The 27,893-nt window shown below is 40.4% G+C and overlaps 1 protein-coding gene and 1 pseudogene across 8 annotated transcripts in view, besides 3 other annotated features; both read left to right on the top strand.

Moving 5' to 3' along the window:
• YEATS4 (YEATS domain containing 4) overlaps positions 1 to 27,893 on the top strand; it is a 67,330-nt gene that overhangs the window by 29,700 nt on the left and 9,737 nt on the right. For 2 of the 8 annotated variants that reach the window (NM_006530.4, NM_001300950.2), the window contains one exon: positions 705 to 1,428. In NM_006530.4, coding sequence (NP_006521.1) covers positions 705 to 874 — 170 coding nt within the window. In that variant the 3' untranslated portion in view covers positions 875 to 1,428. Of the gene's footprint in view, positions 1 to 704; positions 1,429 to 17,717; positions 17,833 to 18,036; positions 21,677 to 27,893 lie in introns of those variants that run through there. The other 6 variants (XR_007063128.1, XR_007063129.1, XR_001748876.2 and 3 more) reach the window with 6 other exon arrangements.
• RN7SL804P (RNA, 7SL, cytoplasmic 804, pseudogene) lies at positions 11,461 to 11,758 on the top strand (annotated as a pseudogene).
• Positions 26,327 to 26,621: a silencer, noted in NCBI's record as "tiled region #8384; K562 Repressive DNase unmatched - State 8:EnhW". NCBI's record gives its function as "represses a minimal TATA promoter and a strong SV40 promoter by Sharpr-MPRA in K562 cells {active_cell/tissue: K562}" and the evidence as "EXISTENCE:reporter gene assay evidence [ECO:0000049][PMID:27701403]".
• Positions 26,327 to 26,841: a biological region, named in NCBI's record as "Sharpr-MPRA regulatory regions 8384 and 8454".
• Positions 26,547 to 26,841: a silencer, noted in NCBI's record as "tiled region #8454; K562 Repressive non-DNase unmatched - State 8:EnhW". NCBI's record gives its function as "represses a minimal TATA promoter and a strong SV40 promoter by Sharpr-MPRA in K562 cells {active_cell/tissue: K562}" and the evidence as "EXISTENCE:reporter gene assay evidence [ECO:0000049][PMID:27701403]".

Consider the following 27,893-nt stretch of genomic DNA (forward strand, 5'->3'; position numbering starts at 1 on the left):
TCCATCTCAAAAAAAAAAAAAAAAAGTTTCACCTGTATATAAATTTAAGAATACTTGTAGTTAACGCTTCCCCCCCACCCCCACCCATTAAGACAGAGTCTCACTCTGTCGACCAGGCTGGAGTGCACTAGCGTCATCTCAGCTCACTGCAACCTCTGCCTCCCAAGTTCAAGTGATTCTCATGCCTCAGCCACCAGAGTAGCTGGGATTACAGGTGTGCACCACCACGCCCTGCTAATTTTGTATTTTTGATAGAGACGAGGTTTTGCTATGTTGGCCAGGTTGGTCTCGAACTCCTGACCTCAAGTGATCCACCTGCCTTAGCCTCCCAAAGTGCTGGGATTACAGACATAAGCCACTGCGCCCAGTCACCTCTCATTAGCTGATGTATCTTGGGTTTGTGTGCCCCCTTATTTCAATCTTAATATGTGTATGGAAAAAAGGACATTATGTCTTAAAATTTTAACTGTGAGTTGGTGACCAGAATTTTATTTTTAGTTGTAGGAAACATCTTAGATCCTCTCTTGGGAATTCAGACATTCTTCCCCTCCCCCAACCTGCACCCATGTTTAATGTTGTAATTCTTAAGTTATCCACATTTCATCATGGAAACATTGTCGTCAGGAAATGCCATATTTATTACCCTGTCATATATCTTAAACATGTGAGAAAAATACTTTAGTAAAAGTATTTGTTTTCTTTAGTTGCAGAGCTTGAAGTGAAAACCAGAGAAAAATTAGAAGCTGCTAAGAAAAAAACAAGCTTTGAGATTGCAGAGCTTAAGGAGAGATTAAAAGCAAGTCGTGAAACTATAAATTGTTTAAAAAATGAAATCAGAAAACTTGAAGAAGATGACCAAGCAAAAGACATATAAACAGTTCTCATGAGAACTTGGTAGTAAGCTAAACTGAAAATAAGGTGGGCTTCACTGGAGAAATGGACTTACTGCAAATGCTGTGATGTTTCTTAGAGGAACTTCATATACAGCTGTTGACCATGAATTTCTTAGCAATAGGAATTTGTACTATTTAAGCAATCTTTAATGGAAAATATGTGTGTAAGAATGGATGCTATATAGGTATTTTACCAACCCATTTTAAGAAAATTCTATGATATTAAGCACAGTTTTTAAAAATGTTTATTGTAGTATATGTATAGCTTATTACCCTTTTGACAGGCATCAAAATTTCATTATAAAGTATTACTTGTACAAATTTTGTACTTCTTTAGTGGCTAGAATTAGTGAAGAAACTTAATGTGTATATTTAATTTCTTCAAGTTCTTACCTGCCCCCATCCTTTTTTGTATATGATGTGTCCAGTAAGTATTCAATAAATGTAGTTTACAGATCCTATTTCTCCCTCCTGATGTGTTTCTTCCTCTTTGAAGACTTTCTGGAACTCCCTCAATACAGTTAAAGTATCTTTATAGTATTGTGACATCACATCTCTTATTGGCACTCATTGTCGCATGTAGAAGCTCTTTGATGGTAAAGATTATATCTTAAGTTTTGTTCTGCCTATATCATAGTGTCATTATTCTTCACATACAAATATATTAATTCTTAGGGGCCAGGCATGGCGGCTTACGCCTGTAATACCAGCACTTTGGGAGTCCAAGGCAGGTGGATCACCTGAAGTCAGGAGTTCAAGACTGGCCTGGCCAACATGGTAAAACCCCATCTCTACTAAAAATACAAAAATTAGCCAGGCATGGTGGCACATGCCTGTAATCCCAGCTACTTGGGAAGCTGAGGCAGGAGAATTGCTTGAACCCAGGAGGCAGAGGTTGCAATGAGCTGAGATCACGCCACTGCACTCCAGCCTGGGCGGCAGAATGAGACTTCATCTCAAAAAAAAAAAAAAAATTAAATCTTTCATAGAGACATATGGGAAGCAGCTGCAGCTGTGCATTAGCTTCATGCACTACTCCTACCCTCTCCTCTTTAGCCTCTTCTGTTCAAATCCACACAGCAAGTCCTCTACTTTTAGACTCATCTACTTTTAACATTCATTAATACCTAATCTTTAAAGGTATGTTGGCTGAACCATCTTGGCAACCTAGGAACAAAAATACTTTTTTATCTGTCTGCCCTGATGGATTGGTTACTTTTTACTTTGTGGCTTTATTTTTTAAAGTTGTGACTTTTGCAATTATTATGGAGGATGTACAAAGGCCTCTGTGGTCTGAAATTTCGGCCAGAGCCCTCTGGGGCTTGATGGTGGTACTTTCAATTGTGCCAGGCATCATTCATTTTCTCTGCACCTTTTATCCCCATGCCTACCTGCCAGGCTTATCATGATAAGATTTCCCAAGTATCGCATAGGGCCTGGGGATAGATCAGGAAAATAACATGAGGGAAAAGCCCCATTCTACTTGAGGAGTTGGCACAGGCAATCATTATTCTAGTCAGCTGCCCACGAATGTATTGGTTCAAATGTATTGGTTCATAAAACTAAAGTCCATGTAGGTAGGTCTGACTTCATGCATGCATACAAGGGTTCAAAATATGTGGTCATGGCTCAATCTTACTCTCTATTGGCTCTTATTTCTTTGTTGGCTTTAATCTTGGTAGGATTTCACTGTGACATTGCAAAGAACTCCTGTAACTCAATAAAAATTTTTTTAATGGGCAAAGGATTTGAACAGAGATTTCTCCAAGGAAGGTATCAAAATGGTCAATAAGCATATGAGGAGATGCTCTGCATCATTCATCATTAGGAAAATGTGAAGTGTATCGCATTTCACTTCACATCCACCATTGTGGCTATAATTTTAAACAAAATACCCAAAAAAGTTGATGAGGCTATAGAAAAATTGGAACCCTCATATATTGCTGGTAGGAATGTAAAATGGTTCAGCCACTTTGGAAAACAGCTTGGCAATTCTTCAAAAAGTTAAGCATAATTATCCAATGACACAACAATTCCACTCCTAGATATATACCCAAGAGAAATGAAAACATGTTCACACAAAAACTTGTACATCAATGTTCATAGCATCATGCATGACTGCCAAAAAGGAAACAATTCAAAATGTCCATCAACTAATGAATGCATTTTTTAAATGTGGTATCTCCATATGATAGATTTTCCCATTCTTTTATAAGTGGAAAGAGAATATTTCCCAAGGGATAATTTCTTCATCTAGACAATAAGAAGAATTAAAGAAACTCAGCTAATTAGGCAGCTCACTTCTTGAAAGAAGATCAAAGTATTAGTTTCATTTTTTCTAACCAATGTAGGTGTTTGGTGCTGTTATTCATATTTTACAGATAGGAGATTAAGGAACTATAGCTTGGTGTTGAGTCAACCAGCAGTTACTCAGATGAGTAATCTGCTATGGGCTTTTCTGTCTCATTAATACTTAATTCTCATGTTCAAAGTGTTAGCATTTTTAATTGTCTGTTGCTCATGCCTAAATACTTCTCAAACCTCCTTCCTTTAACTAATTGTAGTAACTTAATACTATATCAAATATGAACATCAGGTAGCATAAATGCAAAACACTGTAGATAAAAATCTTGCTAGCCATTAATAACATGTAAGAAAATTCTAGTATTAATTTTGTTGGATGGAATACTAAAGCATAGATATTTGAAATCTCTAGAAAACATTTCAGGTACCTGTTCCTTAGCATTACCCCTAATGTCTTCAGTTTTGTTTTGTTTTGTTTTTTAATAATAATAGATTTCAAACTCTTGAGATCAAAACCAAAGAAAATGACTGGGCATGGTGGCTCACGCCTGTAGTCCCAACACTTTGTGGGGCTGAGGATCTCTTGAGGGCAGGAGTTTGAAACTAGCCTAGGTCACATAGTGAGACCTGGTCTCTACAAAAAAAACCAAACAAACAAAAGACACAAACAACAGAAAAATTGGCCAGGTGTGGTGGCATCCACCTGTAGTCCTAGCTGCTCAGGAGGCTGAGGCAGGAGGATTGCTTGAGCCCAAGAGTTTGAGACTACAGTGAGCTATGTGTGGGCCACTGCATTGCAGCCTGGTGACAGAGCAAGACCTTGTCTCTTTTAAAAAAAGAAAGAAAATGAGATCATACAAGTACCAGCTAGGAAAAAAAAAAGAGTAAATTGCTTCCCCTCAACCCAGCCCCTGCCAACAATTGATAAAGAAAAGAAAAAAAAAAAAGGTAAATATTATTTTCTTGGAGTTGGAAAGTACAATGCAAAACCCAGAAATCATAAAGTTTTGGATCTCAAATTTGAATGAGTTTAGGAATCTCTTGAGAGTTGCTAAATCTGGGGAAAGGGGATGGTAGGGGGAGTAGAAATACAGATGAAACAAGATTGGCTGTTGCTAATTATTAAAGCTTGATAATAGGTACATGGGAATTTATTGTTTTCTGAACTCTCGTGTGTGCTTGAGATTTTTCATAAAAAGGTTTTTAATAATGTCAGAGAAAATCATTTTTTCTCCCTGAAGTCAACTGATGAAGAATAAGTCAATCTTATCTTGATCTTACTGGATCAGCACACTGTCTCACAAGATGACAGTAGCTTCCAATTGCATGGTTAGCATGTTTACTTGTATGTTTTATTTTAATAATTCTAGCAAATTCTTCAGTACTGATCATTGAATGTAATAGAAGTTTGGAAGAATGGATGGGAGGGAGGAAAAAACAAAGGGGGCAGTTAGGAAAGGAGAAAGAAAACCCCTTAGGGAGCTTCTTAATAGTTCAGAGTACAATAGTAAAGACATTTGATTAGGTCTAGAATGGAGCCCAGGAATTTGCATTTGCACAAGGCATCCAGGTGATTTGAGAAATGGCATAATGGCACAACTGCACAAATTGTATTACATAAAATGCAACCCTTCTAAATGGAGACAAAAAATAAAAATAGCCTAAAGGAAAAGTGGGACATATATGTGTCTAAAGCTTTAAGATTAAAAGAATTATTATGAATCATTAAGGAAAACAAATGAACCACTGGCAAAAGGAGCAAAAGACTTGAATAGGCAGTTCACTGAAGAGGACATAAAAATAACCAATTTTATGCTTCGTCTCACTAAATCTTAAGAATATGCATATTTAAATAGCAAATATTTCTCATCCATGTAGGATGAGATAAATGGTACAGATAAACTGATAACAGAGAAGACATCACTGATGATACCAACAGAGAGACCAGAAACAGGCCATCTGGAAGATGGAGATAGTGTGTTTGTTTGTTTGTTTGTTTGTTTGTTTGTGGTAGAGTCTCACTCTGTTGCCCAAGCTGGAACACTGCAGCCTTGACCTTTCTGGCTCAGGTGATCCTCCCAACTCAAGCTCCTCAAACTATAGGCCTTCACCACCATGCCCAGCTAATTTTTGTATATTTTGTAGAATTTCGCCATAGTCTTGAACTCCTGGGCTCAAGCAATCGGCCCACCTTGGCCTCCCAAAATGCTGCGATTACAGGCATGAGCCACCATGCCTAGCTTGAGATAGAGTATCATTTTTTATCTGAAATTCAAATTTAACTAAACATACTATACTTTTATTTGCTAACTCTACTTTTTAAATTTTAGATTTAAAAAAAGCAAAGCAAAACAAAAAAAGACAGTGATAGCAAGTGAGGAAACAGCTACCCTCATACAATGATGGGATTATAAATTAGTTCAATGTTTTCAGAGGATAATTTAGGAATATCTGCTAAAAGACTGACTCAACAGTTTCACTTTTAAAATTCACACTTGTTTACTTTTTTATTGAAAGCAAGTAGAGTTTTAGGAATATATTATTTATTTTCACAGAAGGAAGAAGGGAAAAGGAAAAAAATAAGAAAAAATGTATTACTTACAAACCATTTATCCAAATATGCAAGATATGTACAAGAATTTTCATTACAGCATTATTTACAATAAAAAATAGAAAAAAAAATGGAAGCAAGGCAAATGTCTATCAATAGAAGCTGTATAAATATGATATATCATGATACAATGGAATCCTCTGTGGTTGTCAAAATGAATAAAGCAGATCTATGCTGGTTTGTTGGTGGGGGAGGGAAAGCAGTTTGAAAAACAGTGTTTATGATTTAATTTTTATAAGTAATATGTTAGTAAGCAAAGAAAAGTAACTTGGAGGAATGAATCATCACCAAACTTAACAGGAAGAATTTTAGGGACTAACTATCTTCATTATGTATCTAAATATTTAGCTTTTTAAAAAATAAGAATGTATTTCATTTGAGTGAAAGAGAATAAAAATAGTTTAAAAATTAAATGAAAAGGAAAAACAGATGTCTTGATTAACAGAACATTGCCTCCTATGATGAAGTATCATGTGACAGTTCAAAGAAATTAAACATGACCTGTAAATGATGTAAGGGACCAGGGCCAGGACTCCTTCAGGAACTTTACTGAAGGGACTTACGGGTAAGGTCCTTGCTCTTCAGTGCATTGTCCGGTGAACTCGGATAAATAACATTATGGTCCTAATGTAAAAATAGGCAGTTAAAGGTATGAGTTTCATCTATCTCCTGCCCCAGCCTGGACTCTCTGATCTGGCTTTTAAATTATTTTTAGTTATTTTTACTTAAGATAAATTTTAACCAATTGACCACCTAGATTTCAGTAACCTTATGTAATACGCCTCATGTCAATCCCCAACTCTAGGTAGCCCTCCTGGATCTCCACCCTAATCTGTTTACTCTTTCTCACTTTCACTGGCTATCCTGAGTTAACTGTTCTCTACCCTCAACACGGCTTCATTGCTCTTTAGTAATTCCTTAGTCTACCCTTAGTAAATTCTTTATTGTTGCTGTCTGAAAATTTCCAGTCTACTGAATCACCAGTCTGCTTATTCACTAAATGAATAGAGTCATAAAGCTGGGAGCTAATCATCTAACTTAATTCCCTCATTTGATAAGGGAGTAGAGCCATGAAGAAATTAAATGACTTTCAGAGTCACACAATCTGTTGGGACAGAGATTCAATTTTAATTCAGCATTTCCTGACTGAACAGTCATGGTACAGCTCCCCCAAAGCTTAGAGGAGAGTGTGCAAACTGGAAATCAACTGGGAAACAAACTTTCCAAGAAAGAAGAAATCTGTAAGCTGAGGTTTACTGTTACTGTTATAGTCCAATCCCTATTATTAAAATTTTGGCTCATTCTGGTTAAATCATGTTCTCATGATTAATGAGTTAAATCTGGTTAACTCATGTTCTCAAAATTAATGAGAACATGAGTTAATCTGGTTAAGTCATGTTCTCAAAATTAATGAGAATTGTCACTCCTATTTGGTTTAATTACATTCATGAATTGAAACCATGAACCTATTTACTCTTATTTTGCACATCAGCAGATGACCTCAGTTCTTACATCATTGAGATCACTGATGCTATTCAAATTGATTCTGTAAACTTCCATCCATACAAAGTTTCTCTTTGTTCTCACCAAATCCTGCTTTCTTTCATCTCCCTAAATGTTCTCACCATCTGTAATTTTAATTCCAATTTATACTATATACTACTGCGAGTTTATAGTTAGGGGAAAATAAACTTTCCTGAGCCTCAGTTTGCTGTGGTAAACATACTACCTACCTCATGGAATTCTGTTAAAGGGTAAATGACATAGCACATGTAAAAGCGTGTTGAATGGTAAGAATAAAGAAGATAATAATGCTGGCCATCTGCTAAAATCCTTGACAAAATACTAGCAAACCAAATCCAGCAACATAAAAAGGATAATAAGTCCCATTATCAACTGGGATTTATCTCAGGAATGCAAGGTTGGTTCGGCATATACAAATCCATAAGTGTAATACACTATTATGAGCTGAATTGTGTCCCTCTTCCAATTCACATATTGAGCCCTAACCCCTAGTACCTCAGACTGTGACTGTTTTTGAAGATAGTGTCAAAGAAGTAATTATAATCATTAGGTTGGGCCCTAATCTAATATGACTCGTGATATAGTTTGGCTGTGTCCCCACCCAAATCTCATTTTGAATTGTAGCTCCCATAATCCCCACTTGTTATGAGAGGGACCCAGTGGAGGTAGTTGAATCATGGGGGCTGGTTTTTCCTGTGCTGTTCTCAAGATAGTGAATAAGTCTCATGAGATCTGATGGTTTTATAAAGGGTAGTTCCCCTGCACACGCTCTCTTGCCTGCCACCATGTAAGACATGCCTTTGCTCATCTTTCACCTTCCACCATGATGTGAGGCCTCCCCAGCCATGTGGAACTGTGAGTCCATTAAACCTCTTTTTATTTATAAATTACCCAATTTTGGTATGTCTTTATTAGCAGCATGAAAATGGACTAATACAACTGGTGTCCTTGTAAGAGGAGACTAAGACACAGACACTCACAGAAGGAAGACCATATGAAGACACAGGGAGAAGACACCCATCTACAAGCCAAGGAGAGAGGCCTCAGGAGAAACTAATCCTGCCCACAACTTGATCTCAGACTTATAACCTCCAGAATTGTGGGAAAATAAATACCAAATACCTGTATGTGGTAGTTTGTTATGGCAGCCTTAATAACTAACATATAGACTATATTAATAGAACAAAGGACACAAAATACACATGATCATCTCAATAAATGCAGACAAATCATTTGACAGAATCCAATACCCGTTTATAATTAAAAAAACACTCAACGAATTAGTAATATAAGAGAACTTCCTCAGTGGGAAGCATCATACATAGTGGTAAAAGACTGGATTCTTTCCCCATAAGATTAGGAAAAAGATAAGGCTGTTCACTCTTTCCACATCTATTCAACACTGTGTGGGAGGTTCTAGCCAGAGCAATTTGGCAAGCAAAAAGAATAAAAGTCATCCAGATTAGAAAGAAAGAAGTAAAATGATCTCTATTTGGAGATGACATAATCTTGTGTAAAGAAAACCCTAAGGAATACACACACACACACAAAAAAACTATTAGAGGTAATAAATGGATGCAGCAAAATTGCAGGATGAACGATTATATACAAAAATCAATTAGTTCCATACTCCAGCAATGAACAATCTGAAAATAAAAATTTTAAAAAAATTTCATTTATAATAACATCTAAAAAAATAAAATACTTGGGAATATAACACCTAAAGTGCACTCAACCAAATAAAAAATAGACAAATTGACTGGATGCAGTGGCTCACACCTGTAATCCCAGCACTTTGGGAGACAGGGTGGGTGGATTGCTTGAGCCCAGGAGTTCAAGACCAGCCTGGGCAACATGGCAAAATCCTGTCTCTACTAAAAAAATATAAAAATTAACTGGGCATGGTGGTGTGCACCTGTAGTCCCAGCTACTTGGGAGGCTGAGGTGGGAGGATCGCTTGAGCCCAGGAGATGGAGGTTGCAGTGAGTCAGGATCATGCTACTGCACTCCAGCCTGGGCAACAGAACAAGACCCTGTCTCAAAAAAAAAAAAAAACGGCAAATTGATCTTCATCATTAAAAACTTTTGTGCTTTGGCCGGGTGTGGTGGCTCACGCCTGTAATCCCAGCACTTTAAGAGGCTGAGGCAGGTGGATCATGAGGTCAGGAGATTGAGACCATCCTGGCTAACATGGTGAAACACTGCTTCTACTAATACAAAAAATTAGCTGGGCATGGTGGCGGGTGCCTGTAGTCCCAGGTACTCAGGATGCTGAGGCAGGAGAATGGCGTGAACCCGGGAGGCGGAGGTTGCAGTGAGCCAAGATCACACCACTGCACTCCAGCCTGGGCAACAGAGTGAGACTCCGTCCCCCCCAAAAAAACAAACAAACAAACAAAAAAACTTCTGTGCTTCAAAGGACATTCTAAAAAAAGTCAGAAAAAAAAAACAAACCCACGAAATGGGAGAAAATATTTGCAACTCATATATCTGACAAGAGTCGAGTATCCAGAATATATAAAGAACTCTTACAACTCAACAATAAAAAGACAATTAAAAATTGGGCAAAAAATTTGAATACACATTTCTCCAAAGAAGATATTCAAATGGCCAATAAGCATATAAAAAGATGCTTAACATCATTTGGAAATACAAATCAAAATGATGATAACACTTCACATCCACTAGAATGGCTGCAATAAAAGAGACAGACAATAGTAAGTGTTGATGAGGATGTGGAGAAATTGAAACTCTCATATATTTCTGGTAAAAATGTAAAAAGATGCAACTGCTGTAGAAAAAGTTTCAGAGTTCCTTAAAATGTTAAACATAGAGTTACCATATGACCTCAAAATTCTTCTAGATATATACCCAGGAGAATTGAAAACATGTCCACACAAAAACTTGTGCATGAATATTTATAGGAGCATCATTCAGAATAGCTAAAATTGGAAACAATCCCCATGTCCATCAACTGATGAATGAATAAATCGAATGTGGTGTATCAATACAATGGATTATTACTCAGCAGTAAAAATGAATGATGTGCTAAACATGCAGAATGAATCTTATAAACATGCCAAATGAAAGATGCCAGACACAAAGGCCACCTACTGTATGACTCCACTTATATGAAACATCCAGAATAGGTAAATCCATAGAGACAGAAAGTGATTAGTGGTTGCCAGGAGATGGGTGGGGAAGGGAGGATGGGGAGTGACTGGGTGCAGAATTTTTTTACGTGGCGGTGATGGAAAAGTTCTTGAATTAAATAGTGGTGATCGTTACACAACCTTGTGAATATACTAAAAACAACTGACTTGTATACTTTATGGTATGTGAATTATATCTCAATTAAAAAAAAAAAGCTTAGTGTTACCATTTACTGAATACTTTATGTGCCCCATACTCAAGACAAGCCAGTGAGTACATCTCTTATCCCCACTTAGCAAAACAGGTTCAGGGAGATTAAGTGCTTTGCCCAAGGTCACATACTAGGAAGTCATAGAGCTGAGACACACAAAGCCCTAACATTCACTTAGCCACCAAGCTGTATTGATCAAAAGTTTTTAATAGTTTCCATTACATATCTAATAATACTCAATAAAATAGAAATATTTATTGTGTGTATATAAACAATACATTAATATGTATGCCATATATATATATATGTATATCTCCTACAAATTGATGAAAAAAATTCAATAGAAAAATGGGCAAAGAATATGATCAAGTAATTCACACATACAAAAAATACAAATGGTAATTAATAAATATTTGAAAAGGTATATGGCCAGGCATGGTGGCTTACGCCTGTAATCCCAGCACTTTGGGAGGCTAAGGCATGAGGATCACATGAGCCCAGGAGTTTGAGAACAGCCTAGGCAACATAGCAAGACCCCCCCGCCCAATTTAAAAAGTTTAAAAAAAAAAAAAAGGATGTATGAATTCACTAGTAATCAGAGAAATGCAAATTAACACAAGACAATTGTTGGTTCATTATAAAGACAAAATTTAAAGATGTCTAATATTCAGCCACAGAGAGTGAAAGGAACTTGGTACTCATACATTGTTGGTGTGCATTAAGAGTAATAGCCACTTAATATTACCTATCAGAATTTAAAATTTACTGAGTGCAGTGGTGCGTGCCTGTAGTCCCTGCTATTCAGGAGGCTGAGGTGGAAGGATCGCTCAAGTCTAGGAATTCTGACCTGTAGTGCACTATGCTGATCTGGTGTCCACACTAAGTTTGGCATTAATGTGGTGACCTCCGGGAGCAGGGGACCACCAGGTTACCTAAGGAAGGGTGAGCCAGCCCAGGTCAGAAATGAAGCAGGTCAGAACTCCCATGCTGATGAGTAGTGGGATCATACCTGTGAATAGACACTGCACTCCAGCCTGGGCAACACAGTGAGACCTTGTCTCTTAAAAAAAAAAAAAATTGAAAATTTACCATTTGATCAAGTAACTTCACTGATAGGAAATACTTTCATGTGTAAGGATGTTCATTGCTTGTTTTAATAGTGAAAAAATAGATATAAACCAAATGTCTACCTATGTCTACATAATTTCATGTAAATTCTCAGAAAAATATTACCAGGAGTTATTTTGGGGGAAAGCAGTGAAACTGGAGCTGGTGTTGGGGAGCATGAGTAAAGGGCTAGCAAAACTGTTTCCCTTTCTGCATGAGAACTCGACCTTTGGTGGCCAGTAAGGATCTTGCTGTGGGAACCTAAGCAGTGCTGCTAGGTAGACTGCTGCAGGGAGTCCTGGAAGGACATGCCCATGGCCCGATGGCAATCTATGCTTCCTTTGGAGTATCCGCTGAAGTATCTGAGTGTGGTCTAGATTGTGAGTTCATGTTTAGTTGAACCTAAAAAGACCTCCTGTTGGGCAGAGCTGGAAATTAAAAGTAAATTTGTAAGTTAAAAATTAGTTCATATACACCATCCATTTCAGCCAGTAGGATCTTCATGCTGTTCCTTAAATGTACTCTGAGGTTTCTTGTCTCTCACACGTTCTACTTTCTTTTGTTAAAGTATTTCCTTCCTTCCAGGCTGAAATTGCCTGCCAGCAAGTAAGCTCACCCTCCTCTAAACTACCTTAGCATCTTGCTTGCCTCTGTTTCACGGTGTTCAGCTCACCTAGAAAGGGAAAACTGGAATGGGTGATCTCCCAGATGCAGCTGTGAACCTAGGATTTTAACCCTAGATTTGTATTCCCATTCTTCAGACGGTAAGCTTTTTGGTGAAAGAGGAGGCGTTAGTCTTGTTTATCTTGGTAAGTGTGTGTAAAGCCCTTGGTAAGCCTCTCATCTGGGAAGTGCTCCATGGCATTTTACTGTTCCCTGCCAATTAACTTCCAGGGCCCGTCCTGGAACTATTCCACACCAGGGCCTAAGTCTAGTTACAGATCTTGGCTTTTCCTCTCTCTATTCTAGCCTGTCTCAATGCCAGGCACAGAGTCTGGTCCAGTTGTGTTCCAAGATATCACAAATAAATACATAGCTCACTACATGTCAAAAGTGAAAACCCCTAGATTTGGCCTAAAATGGGGCCATTCGTTGTGGGCCTAATTATGCTAGGGTTGTTCCTATACCTAAAATTTTAGGAGGTTAGACAAATATATAGTATGCTTTTTGTTGAGGTTTGGTGACCATAACTAAGCTATTTTTGTATCTCCAAAGAGCAACCTAAAGTCCCAGGACTGCTCTGTCCAGTCTTCTAGAGTTGGGATCCACAAACTTTTTCTGAAAAGGGCCAGATAGTAAGCATTTTATGGTCTCTGTCGTAGATCCTAAACTCTGCTATTGTAGCACAAAGGCAGTCAGACATAGATGAGTGCTGAGTTCCAATAAAATTTATTTATAGACACTGAAATTTTGAATGCCATATAATGCCATGTATCACAAAATATTTTCCTTCCTTTGCTATTTTTCTTTCTTTCTTTTCTTTTTTTTTTTTTTTTTTGAGATGGAGTCTTGCTTTGTCACCCAGGTTGGAGTGCAGTGGTGCAGTCTTGGCTCACTGCAACCTCCATCTCCTGGGCTCATGCAATTCTGCCTCAGCCTCCTGAGTAGCTGGGATTACAGGCATGTGCCACCACGCCTGGCTAATTTTTGTATTTTTAGTAGAGACAGGGTTTCACCATATTGGTCAGGCTGGTCTTGAACTCCTGACCTCAAGTGATCTACCCACCTCAGCCTCCCAAAGTGCTGGGATTACAGGCGTGAGCCACCACGCCCGGCTTGCTATTTTTCAAACATTGAAAAAATGTAAAAAATATTCTTTATTCACAAGCCATACAAAACCTTGCAGCAGGCCAGATGCAGCGCAAGGACTGTAGCTAGCTGGCCCCTGTTCTGATGTTTCTCTAGACTGGGACTGTATAAGAATCACCAACCCCAAGGGGACCTTTGTGATTTGCTCTGTGAATTCAAAGTAAAAACCTGAGATTTGGCCTTTGTAAATGTTCTGAACTGACAAGATTAGTTCAAGTTACCCTATTAAAAGGGATTTGCATCCAGGTGTGGTTGCTCACACCTGTAATCCCAGCACTTTGGGAGACCTAGGCAGGCAGATCACTTGAGGTCAGGAGTTTAAGACCAGCCCGGCCAACATGGCAAAACCCTGTCCCTACTAAAAATACCAAAATTAGCCAGGCGTGGTATCGCACGCCTATAATCCCAGCTACTCGGGAGGCTAAGGCAGCAGAATCCCTTGAACCTGAGAGGCAGAGGTTGCAGTGAGCCAAAATCGTGCCACTGCACTCCAGCCTAGGCAACAGAGCAAGACTCTGTCTCAAAAAAAAAAAAAAAGAAAAAAAGAGGGGGCAGAATTTGCAGAACCATGACATACAAGCACAATGGCTTATTTCTTCTATTTAATGTTATGCAAAGCTTGTCACCTACCTGTTCATGAATGTGGCAAAGGAATTGCATCATGAGGAATTCATTTCCTAACCTCCTAAGTGCATTGCAATTTGGCTTCTTCCTTCACTTTGATACCCAAATTATCAGACATCTTCTTGAGGCCACATCCAAACAAGCAGTTTTCAGGGCTTATTTTATATGACCTCTCAGAAGCATTTGACAAAATTGACCACTTTCTTTTACTTGAAAATTCCTTTCTCTTTCTTCTCTCTCTTTCACCATGATTTTTTTGTTTCTTTTTTTTCCTCCAGTCCTTTTGGCCAATTCTTCTCAGTCTCTTTCAGCATTTCCTCTTCCTCTGTTCATTCTGTAAATGTGTCTTATTCTCTAAGGTTCTATTCTGAACCATCTTCTTTTCCCCTTACTTACCCATGGTTTCAAACACAATTTCACGCTAATTGTCACAAGTCTAGATTTCCAGCCCAAATTCCCATGCTGAGCTCTAGACTCTCCATTCTGTTACCTCCTAAATGATATATTTGGGTGTTCTGCAGGCACCTCAATTGAGCATGTTCCAAGCTTAACTTATCTCCTATTTCAATCTTCTCCCCATCATGAATTTCCTACTCTGTTAGATGGCATTAGTACCAATGCAGTTGCTTGTTGCTATGGTTTAAATGTCCTTTCCAAAGCTCGTGCTAAAATTTGGTTGCCATTGTGACAGTGTTGGGTGAGACCTTTGGGAGCAGAGCCCTCATTGAATGGATTAAAGCTGTTTTCTCAGAGGTGGGTTAGTTATTTTGGGAGTGGGTTAGTTATTGTGGGAGTGGACTCCTGATGAAAGATGAGTTTGGCCCTCATTTTCTCTCTGGCTCTTGCACTCACTTGCCTTTCTGCTTTCATCGAATGGGAGGATAGAACAAGAAGACCCTGACCAGATGGCCAAGCAGATGCCAGTGCCATACCCTGGGACTTCCCAGCCTCCAGAACCATGAGCGAAATATATGCCTTTTCTTTGTAAATTACCCAGTCTGTTACTCTGTTTTAGCAGTTGAAAATGAACTAAGACACCCATGTTGTCAATAGTAGATAGGATCTCTCCATTCTAGGTTCCTCTGGTGAGAACTGCAACCCTCCACTCACATAGGTGGGTTCTGTGGCCATGTTTATATTATGTGACCCTTCCCTCTGCCTTGATTAGACTTGGGTGGGTGCTTAACCCAATCCGGATTAATCAGACTGTCTCCTGGGATTATCTTCAGCTACTGCTAATTCTTGAACTAGAGCTGGTACAGCTATGTGCATGGAGAAGAGCAGAAAGCTGGTATATAGAGAGAGAATGAAGTTGATACACAGAAAGAAGCAGAGAGAGAGAGGAAGATACGGCCTTGGATAGAGTAATCTTGTCTCTGCTCTTCTCACTCACCACCTGCCTGTGTCAAAGCCTGCAGGGCAGCCCATGTACCCAGATCACCACTTTCTGGATACAAATAGTTTTGCCTCTAAACTTTTGTAATTGATTCCTATGCAGTAGTTCCCACCCTTATCTGTGGGGGATACATTCCTAGACACCCAGTGGATGCCTGAAACTTCAAATAGAACTAAACTCTATAAGCACTATGTTCTTTCCTATGCATACATGTCTATGATAAAGTTTAATTTATAAATTAGGCACAGTAAGAGATTAACGACAATAACTAATAATAAAATAGAACAATTATAACAATGTATTGGTCTCGATTTCATGGATAGATGATTCATTCTTACTAAAGAAGACCTTTAGTGACCTCAGCGTACAGTTTTTTTTCTTTCCTTATTAAGTCAAAAACTTTCACCTTTTCACTTAAAAGAAGCACTTACGGCTTCTCTTTGGCATATTCAAATTGCCAGCATCACTACTCTTGCGCTTTGGGGCCATTATTAAGTAAAATAAGGGTTACTTTGAACACAAGCACTGTGATACTACGACAGTGAATTTGATAACAGGCTGACTACTAAGTGACTAATAGGCGGGTAATGCAGACAGCGTGGATCTGCTGGACACAGGGATGATTCATGCCCTGGGCAGGATGGAGTGGAACTGCAAGAGATTCCATCCTGCTACTCAGAACAGTGTACAATTTAAAACTTTATGAAACTTTCTGGAATTTTCCATGGAATATTTTTGGACTGCAGTTGACCACAGGTAATTGAAACTGAAATGGAAAGCAAAACCGTGAATACGGGAGGACCACTATATAAATTCCACCTATTGAATTATCTGATATGAGTTTTGTGTTCCTGGCTGGATCTTGACTGAGGTAGCTAACTTTGCAAATAAGCACATACAACTCTACATCATTTAAAACCTGCCTATGTTCCACTATATGAATGTTCTATGATTTATTTAATCATTGGCTATTGATAAACATTTGTTTCCAATTATTTTGCTACTACAATCAGTGGTGTAATGACCATCTTTGCATATGTATGCATTTCTATAGGACAAATTTCTAGAAGTAAAATTGCTAGGTCAAGGAGAGTATGCATCTTAAATTTTTAATAATATTGTCAAATTTCTCTCAAAAGTTTGTACCTAATAATGCTTTCAACAACTGTGCGTTAGAGTACCTGTTTCTGTACACCCTGACCAACTCAATTGCAAATCTCACTGATGAAAGTATTACATCAATTTTGTTTAAGTATTTTGTTTGTTTTTTTGAAACAAAGTCTCACTATGTGGCTCAGGCTGGAGTACAGTGGCACAAAAGTGTTTCACTGCAGCCTCCACCCCCTTGGTTCAAGTGATTCTCCTACGTCAGCCTCCTAAGTAGCTGGAACCACAGGTGCATGCCACTATGCCTGGATAATTTTTAAATTTTTTTATAGAGATAAGTTTTCACCATGTTGCCCAGGCTGGATATTTTATTGTTTTGCTTTGCATTTTTAAAAATTCTGAGTAAGATTGAGTATTTTTTGTACTTATTGTTCATCTGCATTTCTTTTTCTGTGAACGGCCATGTAACTGGTTTTATTTTTTGCTTTTTTCACTTAATATTATATGTCATGAACTTTTTCTAGAATAATTAAAAACATGATCAACAAGAACTGCATATTAGTCCATTCTATGATTATACCATAATTATTCTTTTATTATTAGACATTTAGATTGTTTCCAATTTTTCTTTTTTCTTTTCTTTCTTTTTTTGAGACAGGGTCTTGCTCTGTCACCCAGGCTGGAGTGCAGTGGTGTGATCACAGCTCACTGCAGCCTCGACTTCCCAGGCTCAAGTGATCCTCCTGCCTTAGCCTCCCAAGTAGCTGGGACCACAGGCATGCACCACCACACCTGGCTAATTTTTGTATTTTTTGTAGAGACAGGGTCTTGCTATATTACCCAGGCTGATCTTGAACTTCTGGCCTCAGGTAATCCTCCCACCTTGCCCTCCCAAACTGCTGGGATTACAGGTGTAAGCCACCACACCTGGCCCAATTTCTCTTAACATTTATACATTCTTTTTTTTTTTTTTTCTAGAATCAAGAATGATTGAGAATAGGAACGGCTCAAGACGTTCACAACTAAGGCCATGAATAGCTAGGAATTCCCTTTAAGAGCAAAGGTTTTATCATCAGACAGACCTACTTGCAGGGTGAGTAACTTCTCTAAGCTTCCATTTCCTCCTCTGAGGACTAAATGAGAAAGTGTATGGAACGTACTTTGCACAGTCCCTGGTACATGGTAGGTGCTGAATACATATTAATTAATTTAATATAAAATGAAAAATGGGCCTGTATTTTATGAAAAATATTATAAGAGACACTTTTGATCTAGAATTCTTTTGTTTGTTTTTCAGGATTAGCATATATTGAGGCTGGGAATTGTTTGCCATATCCCTATTTCCTGGATAGCTACTGTGAAGTCCTGCAGTGTTGTCACTTTCTTAATTGGACTTGTGAAGGGCCCAGAAAACTCCGTGCAGGATATTGTGAACCATAGCACTGAGAATGTCATGATGCAGATGGAAGCTCCTGATACCAGTGGTCCAGTAGTGTATTCTAAGTACAAATACTTTTTGTCTTTTTTTTTTTTTTTTTTTTTTTTTTTTTTTGAGATGGACTTTTGCTCTTGTTGCCCAGGCTGGAGTGCAATGGTGCAATCTCAGCTCACCACAACCTCTGCCTCCCAGGTTCAAGCAATTCTCCTGCCTCAGCCCCCTGAGTAGCTGGGATTACAGGCATGTGCCACCACGCCTGGCTGATTTTGTATTTTTAGTAGAGACAGGGTTTCTCCATGTTGGTCAGGCTGGTCTCGAACTCCCGACCTCAGGTGATCCGCCCACCTTGGCCTCCCAAAGTGTTGGGATTACAGGCGTGAGCCACTGTGCCTGGCCACTTTTTGTCTTAACAATGGTTCTCACTGATTATTATGAGTTACGGATTGTTATGTTAACCACTGGGGTGGTGGGCTGAATCGGAAGAGAACTATCAAGAGTGTCTTATGTGGAGAGGATCTTGAGTTTTACAATCTTCTGGGAAAACTACTCCTGGGAGATACTGTTGGGCATTACAAGATCATCGGAGTCATCAAAGATCCTTCGAACTTACTAGTGACCCTTGAAAAGTTGAGACTAAGGAGAGTGTTGATCTAGTGCTAGTAACATCTTACATTTCTTTAGATTTGATACTAATTTCTCATTTTTATAGATGAGTGAATTCAGTGTGGATGACGGGAGAGAGATTGTAATGGTATAAATGCTTTGCTTGCTGTAGGTTGAGTATAGCTTGCCAAATGGGAGGTGTTAACACTTGTAAATTTGTAGATCAGAAATTATTGGGAAATAAAGGATGTGCGCATGTGCGTGCGTGTGTGTGTGCATGCATGTGTTTGAAGTTTTTGATACATGTTGCCAGGTTGCCCTGTGAAAAGTTTACTCCAGTTTGCCCTGGCACCAGCAGGCTGTGAGGATGCCCATTTCCTCAGACAAATTTCTCCAGTCAAGAGGCACCTTCCAGAGAATTGTATCATGGTGATACAATTGATGATCCCCCAGCCTATGGCCCAAGTAGTCTCCAGAACTGCAGGCTTGAGGCAGCTCATCGCTCCAGCCTGAGTAGATTCCTTGTCCATCAATGTGAAGTTAAAACTACAGACTAGACCTTTCAATATGCTCTCATTCCTCTCACAGCTATTTTTGGAGCATCTATTGTGTGTCAGGGGCCTTTTCCTGTCTTAGAGCTCGCCCATCAAAAATAGTGAGACTCACAGTTACACATCATTAGAAATGCCATAATATTTAGAAACTACTTAGGTCTTAGAGAACCCCAGTTTCAGATTCTGTGAACTTGAGTAGGTTACTGGATTTCGCTGAGGCTCGGTTTTCTCTTGTTTACAATCGAGATTTTAATATATATATCAGACGGCTGACTTACACTGCCTGGCATATCTAGACACTGTAGATATTAGCATAGGGATTAACAGTGTAGGCTTTGGAGTCAAGTTACTTGGTTTGAATCGTGGCTCCGTTGCACACTGGCTTTGTGATCACAGGCAAGTTATTCAACCTCTCTGTGCCTTACTTTCCTCATGTTTAAAGTAGTCATAATCATACTTGCATCATGGTGTTATTCAGAAGATCAACTGAGAGACGTATGTAAAGTATTTAGCATAGGACTTAGAACCTAGTTAATGCTCAATTAATATGTTATTTTTGGCCAGGTGTGGTGGCTTACGCCTATAATCCCAGCACTTTGGGAGACTGAGGTGGGCGGATCCCTTGAGGCTAGGAGTTGGAGACCAGCCTGGCCAACATGACGAAACCCCGCCTCTACCAAAAATACAAAAATTAGCCAGCCATGGTGGTGCACACTTGTAGTCCCAGCTACTCGGGAGGCTGAGGCAGGAGAATCGCTTGAACTCGGGAGGCAGAGGTTGCAGTGAGCCGAGATTGTGCCACTGTACTCCAGCCTGGGCAACAGAGTGAGACTCTGTTTAAAAAAAAAAAAAGATATATATATATATTAACATGCTTCTTATTGAGGTATAATTTACATACTGTTATGGACTGAATTGTGTTCCCTCCAAAATACATATGTTGAAGTCCTAAACCCCAGTATCTCAGAAAATAACTGTGTTTGGACATAACATCTAAACATCTTTAGCATGCATGTGTGTATCTATATGTAATTAAAATTAGGTCATTAGGGTGGGCTTTAATCCAATATGACTGGTGTCCTTACAAAAATAGAAATTTGAACACAGCCACATACAGGAGGAATATGATGTGAAGACAAAGGGAGAAGACAGCCATCTATAAGCTAAGGACATGGACCTGGAACACATCCTTCCCTCCCAGCCCTCAGACAGAACCAACTCTGTAGATCAACCAACACCTTGACTTTCAGCCTCCAGAACTGTAAGAAAACTTTTCCTGTTTAAGCCACCCAGTCTGTGAAACTATATTATGGCAGCCCTAGCAAACTAACACACAAACCATAAAATTCACTCACGTTAGCATATAATTCAATGGTTTTTAGTAAATTTGCAGAGTTGTGCAACCACTACCACAATCTGATTTTAGAGTATTTTTGTCTCCTCTAAAGAAGCCTTTTTGCCATTTGCAGTCACTCCCTACTCCCACTTTCAGCTCCAGGCAACCACTCATCTTCTTTGTACCTCAATAGATTTGCCTTTTCTGGGCTTTTCATATAAATCATCTCCACTGAATAGGAAATTCTATATATTAAGAGTCAGCTCATTCTATATTCTTCTCAGCTTCTTATTAAAACTTCTTATAATGAGCCCAAATCTACTGCCTTGTAACTTATTCTACACAGTTAACATATTCCTATCATAGTTTATTTTTAACAGAGGTCAGGCAAAAATTATTATATGTGCCACATAATTGTTGGAGTGAGGATGGAAATATTTAGTCAAAATGACCATTGTCATCATAATTTAAGAAATAACCACTTTATTTTTAGCAGTCGATAAGGAAAAAGATTGACAAAAGAAACTATAAGCAAGCATGCTGTTTTGAGTCGCCGGAGGATAGAGACGGCCCAAGAAGAATTTCAAGAGAACTGCTAATGAGAAACCTTCCGTGGTGAGACTTGAACTGACAAGCTATTCCCCCAGGCTCCTCGGGAACATCTCATAACTAATCGGGACATTCCATCAAGACCACATGCACAGGGCCACAGCCTAGACAGCAGAGCATCCAAACCGCCAAAGAAAATGTTGAGGCTGCACCAATAAGGGACTTTGTGCAATGCCTCTTTTATTGAAAAAATCTATTTAAATGAAATCTTTCTAGGACATTATGTCAAAACTGCAACTGGAAACGTCTGCTTTTCTCACCTGGAAGAATTGCCCCTATTAAACCATAGTAACTATAAACAGTAATTATGTATAGCTGTGCATAAGCATGCAAGTGTGTATCTATAGGTAACCATTTATTTAACAATATATATTAAGCACCTTGTGTGTACCAAGTACTGTTTTTTGTTGTTGTTAGTTTGTTTTTGAGATAGAGGCTCACTGTGTCGCCCAATCTGAAGTACAGTGGTACAATCACATTTCACTGCAGCCTTGACCTCTCTGGCTCAGGTGATCCTCCCACCTCAGCCTCCCGAGTAGCTGGGACCGCAGGCCTGTGTCACCACACCTGGCTAATTTTTGTAGTATTTGTAGAAATGGGGTTTCGCCATGTTGCCCAGGCTGGTCTCGAACTCATGGGCACAAGCAATCCTCCCACCTTGGCCTCCCAAAGTGCTGGGATTATAGGCATGAGCCACCATGCCAGGCCCAGGTACTGTTATAAGTGCTTGTGAATATGTCAGCAAATAAACAAATGTCCCTACCATTGTAGTGCTAACATTTTAGAAGGGAAAGTCAGAAAATAAACAGTAAGCATAATAATAAATTAATTAATTACAGTGTTAAGTTAGAAGGTGTTTCATGATACGGGAAAAAGAAAATTTGAACAGGGGAAGAGAATTGGGAGTACTGGAGGGGAGTGTGGACAGGGTTGCAACTTTAAATGGAGTGGTCCATGCAGGCCTTATTGAGAAGGTGGCATTAGTGCGAGACACGAAGGAGGTGAAGGAGTGAGTAGGCAATTTTCTTTGGGAATAATGGTCCAGGCAGAAGAAACTGCCAGGGCAAACTCTCTGAAGCGAAAGCATTCCTGGTGTGTCTGGGGAGTACCCCAGGGGCCAATGTGGCCGATGCCAAGTGAGCAAGGGGAAGGTAGCAGATGAGGTCATGGTGGATACTGGGAACCAAACCACGTAGGGGTTTGGGGTTCATTGCAAGGACTTTAGTTTTTATTCCAAGTGAGACAGGAAACTCAAAGAGCAACATGATCTGACTTCAACTTGGAAAAGAGCCCTCTGGCTGGTTTAAAAAGGAGCAAGGGTAGAAGCAGGGCTGAGGGACAGGAGCCCATGTCAGAGTCCAGACACGAGGTGATGAGGGTCGGGAGCAGTACACTTAATATGTCTGTGCAACTGCAGATTCATTTGTCCAGCAAATATTTATAGCCACTATGCCATGTGCTGGGGTGCTGTGGCAACCAACTTGCTCACAGTCTCTCTTCTATTACTGTAAACAACATGAGTTGACATGGATGGAAGGTTCCCTGCAGGTCAGGCTGGCTCTAAGCACTTGAAAGGTATTCTCTCTGAACCTGAACCTTATCTCAAGGGCTCAGGTGCCACTATTGTCCCCATTTAAAGGTGAGGCAAGTCCGGGCGCGGTGGCTCACACCTTTAATCCCAGCACTTTGGGAGGCCGAGACAGGCAGATCACAAGGTCAGGAGTTCAAGACCAGCTGGCCAATATGGTGAAACCCCGTCTCTACTAAAAATACAAAAAAAAATTAGCTCGGCGTGGTGGCAGGGGCCTGTAGTCCCAGATACTCAGGAGGTTGAGGCAGGAGAATCACTTGAACCCGGGAGGTGGAGGTTGCAGTGAGCCAAGATCGCGCCACTGCACTCCAGCCTGGGCGATAGAGCAAGACTCCGTCTCAAAACAAATAAATAAATAAAAATACAAATAAAAATAAAGGCGAGGAAAGTCAAACACTGAGAGAGTTGGCAGCCCAAAGTTGTGCAATCAGGCAAGTCAAGATTCGAGTGCATAGGCTTGGGCTACAGAGTGCCTTCCTGAAGATGGCTGTGTGATGAGGGTTATAATAGGATGACATGGGAGGGAGAGCAGGAGGGCCACCTGGAGGAGGTGACATTGAAGCTGAGGCTTCATAGGAGTTAGCCAGGGGAAGAGTGGATATAGGGAGGAAAGAATGCAGCGGTGGAAGGGGGAGGGAAAAGCATGTGCAAAGAAAGACCTAGAAGTGAGAAAGCAGGACATTGGAAAGACAGAAAAAAAACCCCAGATGTTGCTGGATCCTAAGTGTGCTAGGGGTGTTTGCACAGAATGAACTAGAAACACTGGCAGAGAGTAGAAGTTTGGGTTCATTAAATCTGTTAACCAAAAATCTACTAATTGGCTGGGTGTAGGGCTCATGCCTACTATCCCACCACTGTGAGAGGCCAAGGTGGGAGGACCACTTGAGGAAAGGAGGGCAAGACCAGTCTGGCCAACAGAGTGAGACTTTGTCTCTACAAACAGTGTTTTAGAAATCAGCCAGTAATTTGAGGCTACAGTGAGCTGTGAACACACCACTGCACTCCAGCCTGGGCAACAAAGTGAGACCCTGTCTCTAAATGAAAAAAAAAAAAAAAAAAAAACTACTAATTGCAGATTTGTCTTTAAAATTTTCTTCCTGGGATCTCACATTGGAAAACATATCAATTGAAAGAGTGGATCTTAGAGTCACAGAAGAAACGGCAGCCTAAGAAGTAGCTTGCAGTGGGGTCTTCAACGCCCCCCCCATCTCCATCCCCCCGTCAATCTAACCCAAAATGCACTAAGTAAAGATATGAGGCTGGGCACAGTGACTCACACCTGTAATCCCAGCACTTTGGGAGGCCGAGACAGGCAGATCACTTGAGGTCAGGAGTTCGAGACCAACCTGGCCAACATGGCGAAACCCCGTCTCTACTAAAAATACAAAAATTAGCCAGGCATGATGGTGCACGCCTATGGTCCCAGCTACTTGGGAGGCTGAGGCAGGAGAATTGTTTGAACCCAGGAAGCAGAGGTTGCAGTAAGCTGAGATCGCACCACTGCACTCAAGCCTGGAAAACAGAGCAAGACTTCGTCAAAAAAAAAAAAAAGAAAAAGAAAAAGAAAAACAGAAAAGGCATGAGGTAGCTATGCAAACAGCTTCAAGAAAGTCTCCTGCTTACATTTCCATCAAAGGGCTGCCCTAACCCTTCTAATACAAAAATTTTGTAGCCCCTGTTACAGACAAGTCTAATTGAATCCTGCTCTCCCATTTGTAGATACATGACATCTATAAACTTCATCTATCTACTCTCTAAAATTTACATGCTATTGCTCATCTCACAAGATCATCATCACTCTCTACTGAGCTAATGCATACTAATTGCATATTTGATACTTTTTATTCATTTGCAAAACTCAAATATCTAAGCAACGATTGCATGTTCTGAAAAAGAGAACATTTTAATTTTATTTTTTAATTTTAACTTTTTAAAAGAGATACAGTCTTGCTCTGTCACCCAGGCTGGAATACAGTGGCACAATATAGTTCACTGCAGCCTCAAGCTCCTGGGTTCAAGTGATCCTACTACCTCAGCCTCCCCAGTAGCTGGGACTACAGGAACATGCTACCGCGACTGGCTAATTTAAAACTTTTTTTGTAGATACGGGGTCTCACTTTGTTGCCCAGGCTAGTCTGAAACTCCTGGCCTCAAGTGAACCTCCCATCTTAGCCTCCCAAAGCACTGGACTAGCAGGCATGAGCCACCATGCCCGAAGAGTACATTTCTTATTGTCCCCCAAATTGGACAAATTATTTAGTCTTAAGCTATACAGGAATAGGAAAAGATTCAGATTCCACAAACTCTGTCCATTTCTGTCCAGAACATTTTATTGAGTTTGCTTCAAAATAAGATGAACTTTCTTGGCATATAACGTCTGGAGGTAGGACAATGCACTGACTTCTTAAGCACAGAATCCCCTTGACTTCCAAAGTGAGACCTGGCTTGGCCCGCTGAAAAGTGCCTAGACTTTGAAGCCAGATGGATTTGAGATTAACTGGGGTGATGTCGTTGATTGCTCATCAGTGGCACTGGGAATGAATTCGCACTGTGTTGTACTTACGTGGCTTTCTTTCTCAGCGGAAATGTTGCCATCAGTTCTTTTTGGGATATCAATAATTTGGCAAGAAAGAAAGTCTCCATCAATGTATTATAGAGACTGGGGGACAAAAATCTGAGAAATGCTACCTAAATTCCTGCAGGATGCATGCAGATGTTCACAAAGAACGTACACTAAGCAATTCAAAAAGCCACAGAATCATGCATGCTGAGCGCACACTTGCCTACATAAGGAGCAGCACTTTGACCTAGAAGCCAGGGACCAGGAAGGCAGTAAGAGAGAAAGAAACAGGGGATGTTGATTCCCCTGTTGTCCTTTGCACCCCTCTACTTAGTAGATCTAACTTAAGTTGTTCAGTGGGCAAAAGTCCAGTGTACTCAGTAGCTCCAAACCAACATTTAGTGTCAAAAAGGTATTTGGGGCCAAGTGTGGAGGCTCACGCATGTAATCCCAACACTTTGGGAGGCCGAGGCGGGCAGATCACCTGAGATCAGGAGTTCGAGACCAGCCTGGCCAACATGGTGAAACCCCATCTGTACTAAAAATACAAAAATTAGCCGAGTATGGTGGTGGGCACTTGTAGGAGGCTGAGGTGAGAGAATCTCTTGAACCCAGGAGGCAGAGGCTGCACTGAGCTGAGATCATGCCACTGCACTCCAGCCTGGGCAACAAAGGGAGATCATGTCTTAAAAACAAACAAACAGGTATTTGGAGCAAGCAATGGACCCAGTGACAGTAACAATTTCAAAGCAAGTAGAGATCCAATGGCAAAGATGGGAGAGGAACAGCCTCAATGTGTAGGAAAAGGTGGCTATAACTACAAAAGCCAAGACTGTGTATGGGGACAGGTGAGGGAGAGGATTCACTGCCTGTGATCCCCTGGCCAGTCGGGGATCCATCCATTTCACACATGGATGCCGAGAAAAAGATGTCTGAGAGGGCAGTGGGCAAGAAGAACAGTTGTGGCCGACTAGCGAGGGGATCACAGGCAGAAACATCAACCCTTTAAGATGCCATGAGCATTGCTGCCTGAAGGTGGCATCTCTCACTCTGAAGAATTCCTGTGAAGATTAAGAAGCCTTGCAATACATTTTTGGAAGGTCAGTTCACATCTGTTTTCTATTTGTCATATTCTGTCAGCACTTCTGTGAGAACTGAGCCATTACACCAGCCTTGGAAGCCAGAGGCAGCTGGATCCTTCAGGCCTGGCATCTCCCAGGCCCGCGGTCCTACCTCAGTGGAGGAAGAGTGGGAACTGCTGTGCATTCCAACTTCAGTTCCCTGTGTGTGCCGCTGCCACCATCGCTCACCTGCAAACTGCTTCAAAGAGCAAACAGGCACTAAGAATTCAGCCTGGTGAATCCATTGTTCTCCTCCCCATAAAACAACAAACAACTTAGAGGCTTTTCAATCCTCTGATGTGTTTAATTTGTTATCTAGCAACAAAAAGAAGGAAAAGAAAAAGAAATTCTCCCAAATTCTATGCAATTTACAGTCCTGCAACTACATACGGAACTGGGATTTGCCTGAGAGACATATTGCAAAACAATCGGCCCCAAGGAAAATTCCAGAACTCAACAACACTCACAGTGGCCTAGTGATGGTTATCAGAATGGTGTTTCTAAATGGTGCTTATCAGTGTGCAGAGTCACTTATCACCAGTAGGCAAAGAGTTCCATGGATGTGGTTCAAAGGGCAGCCCAAGAAGCACCTGGGTCACATTCCTGCCCATCTGCCTGCAGCCCTCCCACGCCAGTAGGTAACCTAGACTTGCTTCACAGGGTCGGGGTTTGGGAAGACAAGGCATCTATGACAGGCTACTTCGCTCAGATCAATGTGTAACAATCAATGCCCAGTGCTTAATTTTAACAATAAGAATTTTATGGTGAGAGATGAACAGTCAATACTTAAGTTGGTCAGCCGGTGGCGGTGGCTCATGCTTGTAATCCCAGCACTTCGGGAGGCCGAGGTGGGTGGATAAGGTGAGGTCTGGAGTTCGAGACCAGCCTGGCCAACATGGTGAAACCCCATCTCTACTAAAAATACAAAAATTAGCCGGGCATGGTGGTGGGTGCCTGTAATCCCAGCTATTCGGGAGGCTGAGGTAGAAGAATCACTTGAACCCAGGAGGCGGAGGTTGCAGTGAGCCAAGATCACACCACTGCACTCCAGCCTGGGCAACAAGAGCAAAACTCTGTCCCAAATTTAAAAATAAATAAGTAAATAAAAATAAAATAAAATAAAATACTCAAGTTGGTCATGGCTTAAACATTTTTTAAAAATTTTTTTTTTTTTTTTTTTTTGAGACAGAATCTCACTCTGTTGCCCAGGCTGGAGTGCAGTGGTATGATCATGGCTCACTGCAGCCTCAACTTCCTGGGTTCAAGTGATCCTCCTGCCTCAGCCTCCCACGTTGCTTGGACTACAGGTGCATATGCCATCACACCTGGCTAATTTTTTGAT

The sequence above is a fragment of the Homo sapiens genome, chromosome 12, assembly GCF_000001405.40.
Source record: "Homo sapiens chromosome 12, GRCh38.p14 Primary Assembly".
Classification (NCBI taxonomy): Eukaryota; Metazoa; Chordata; class Mammalia; order Primates; family Hominidae; genus Homo; species Homo sapiens.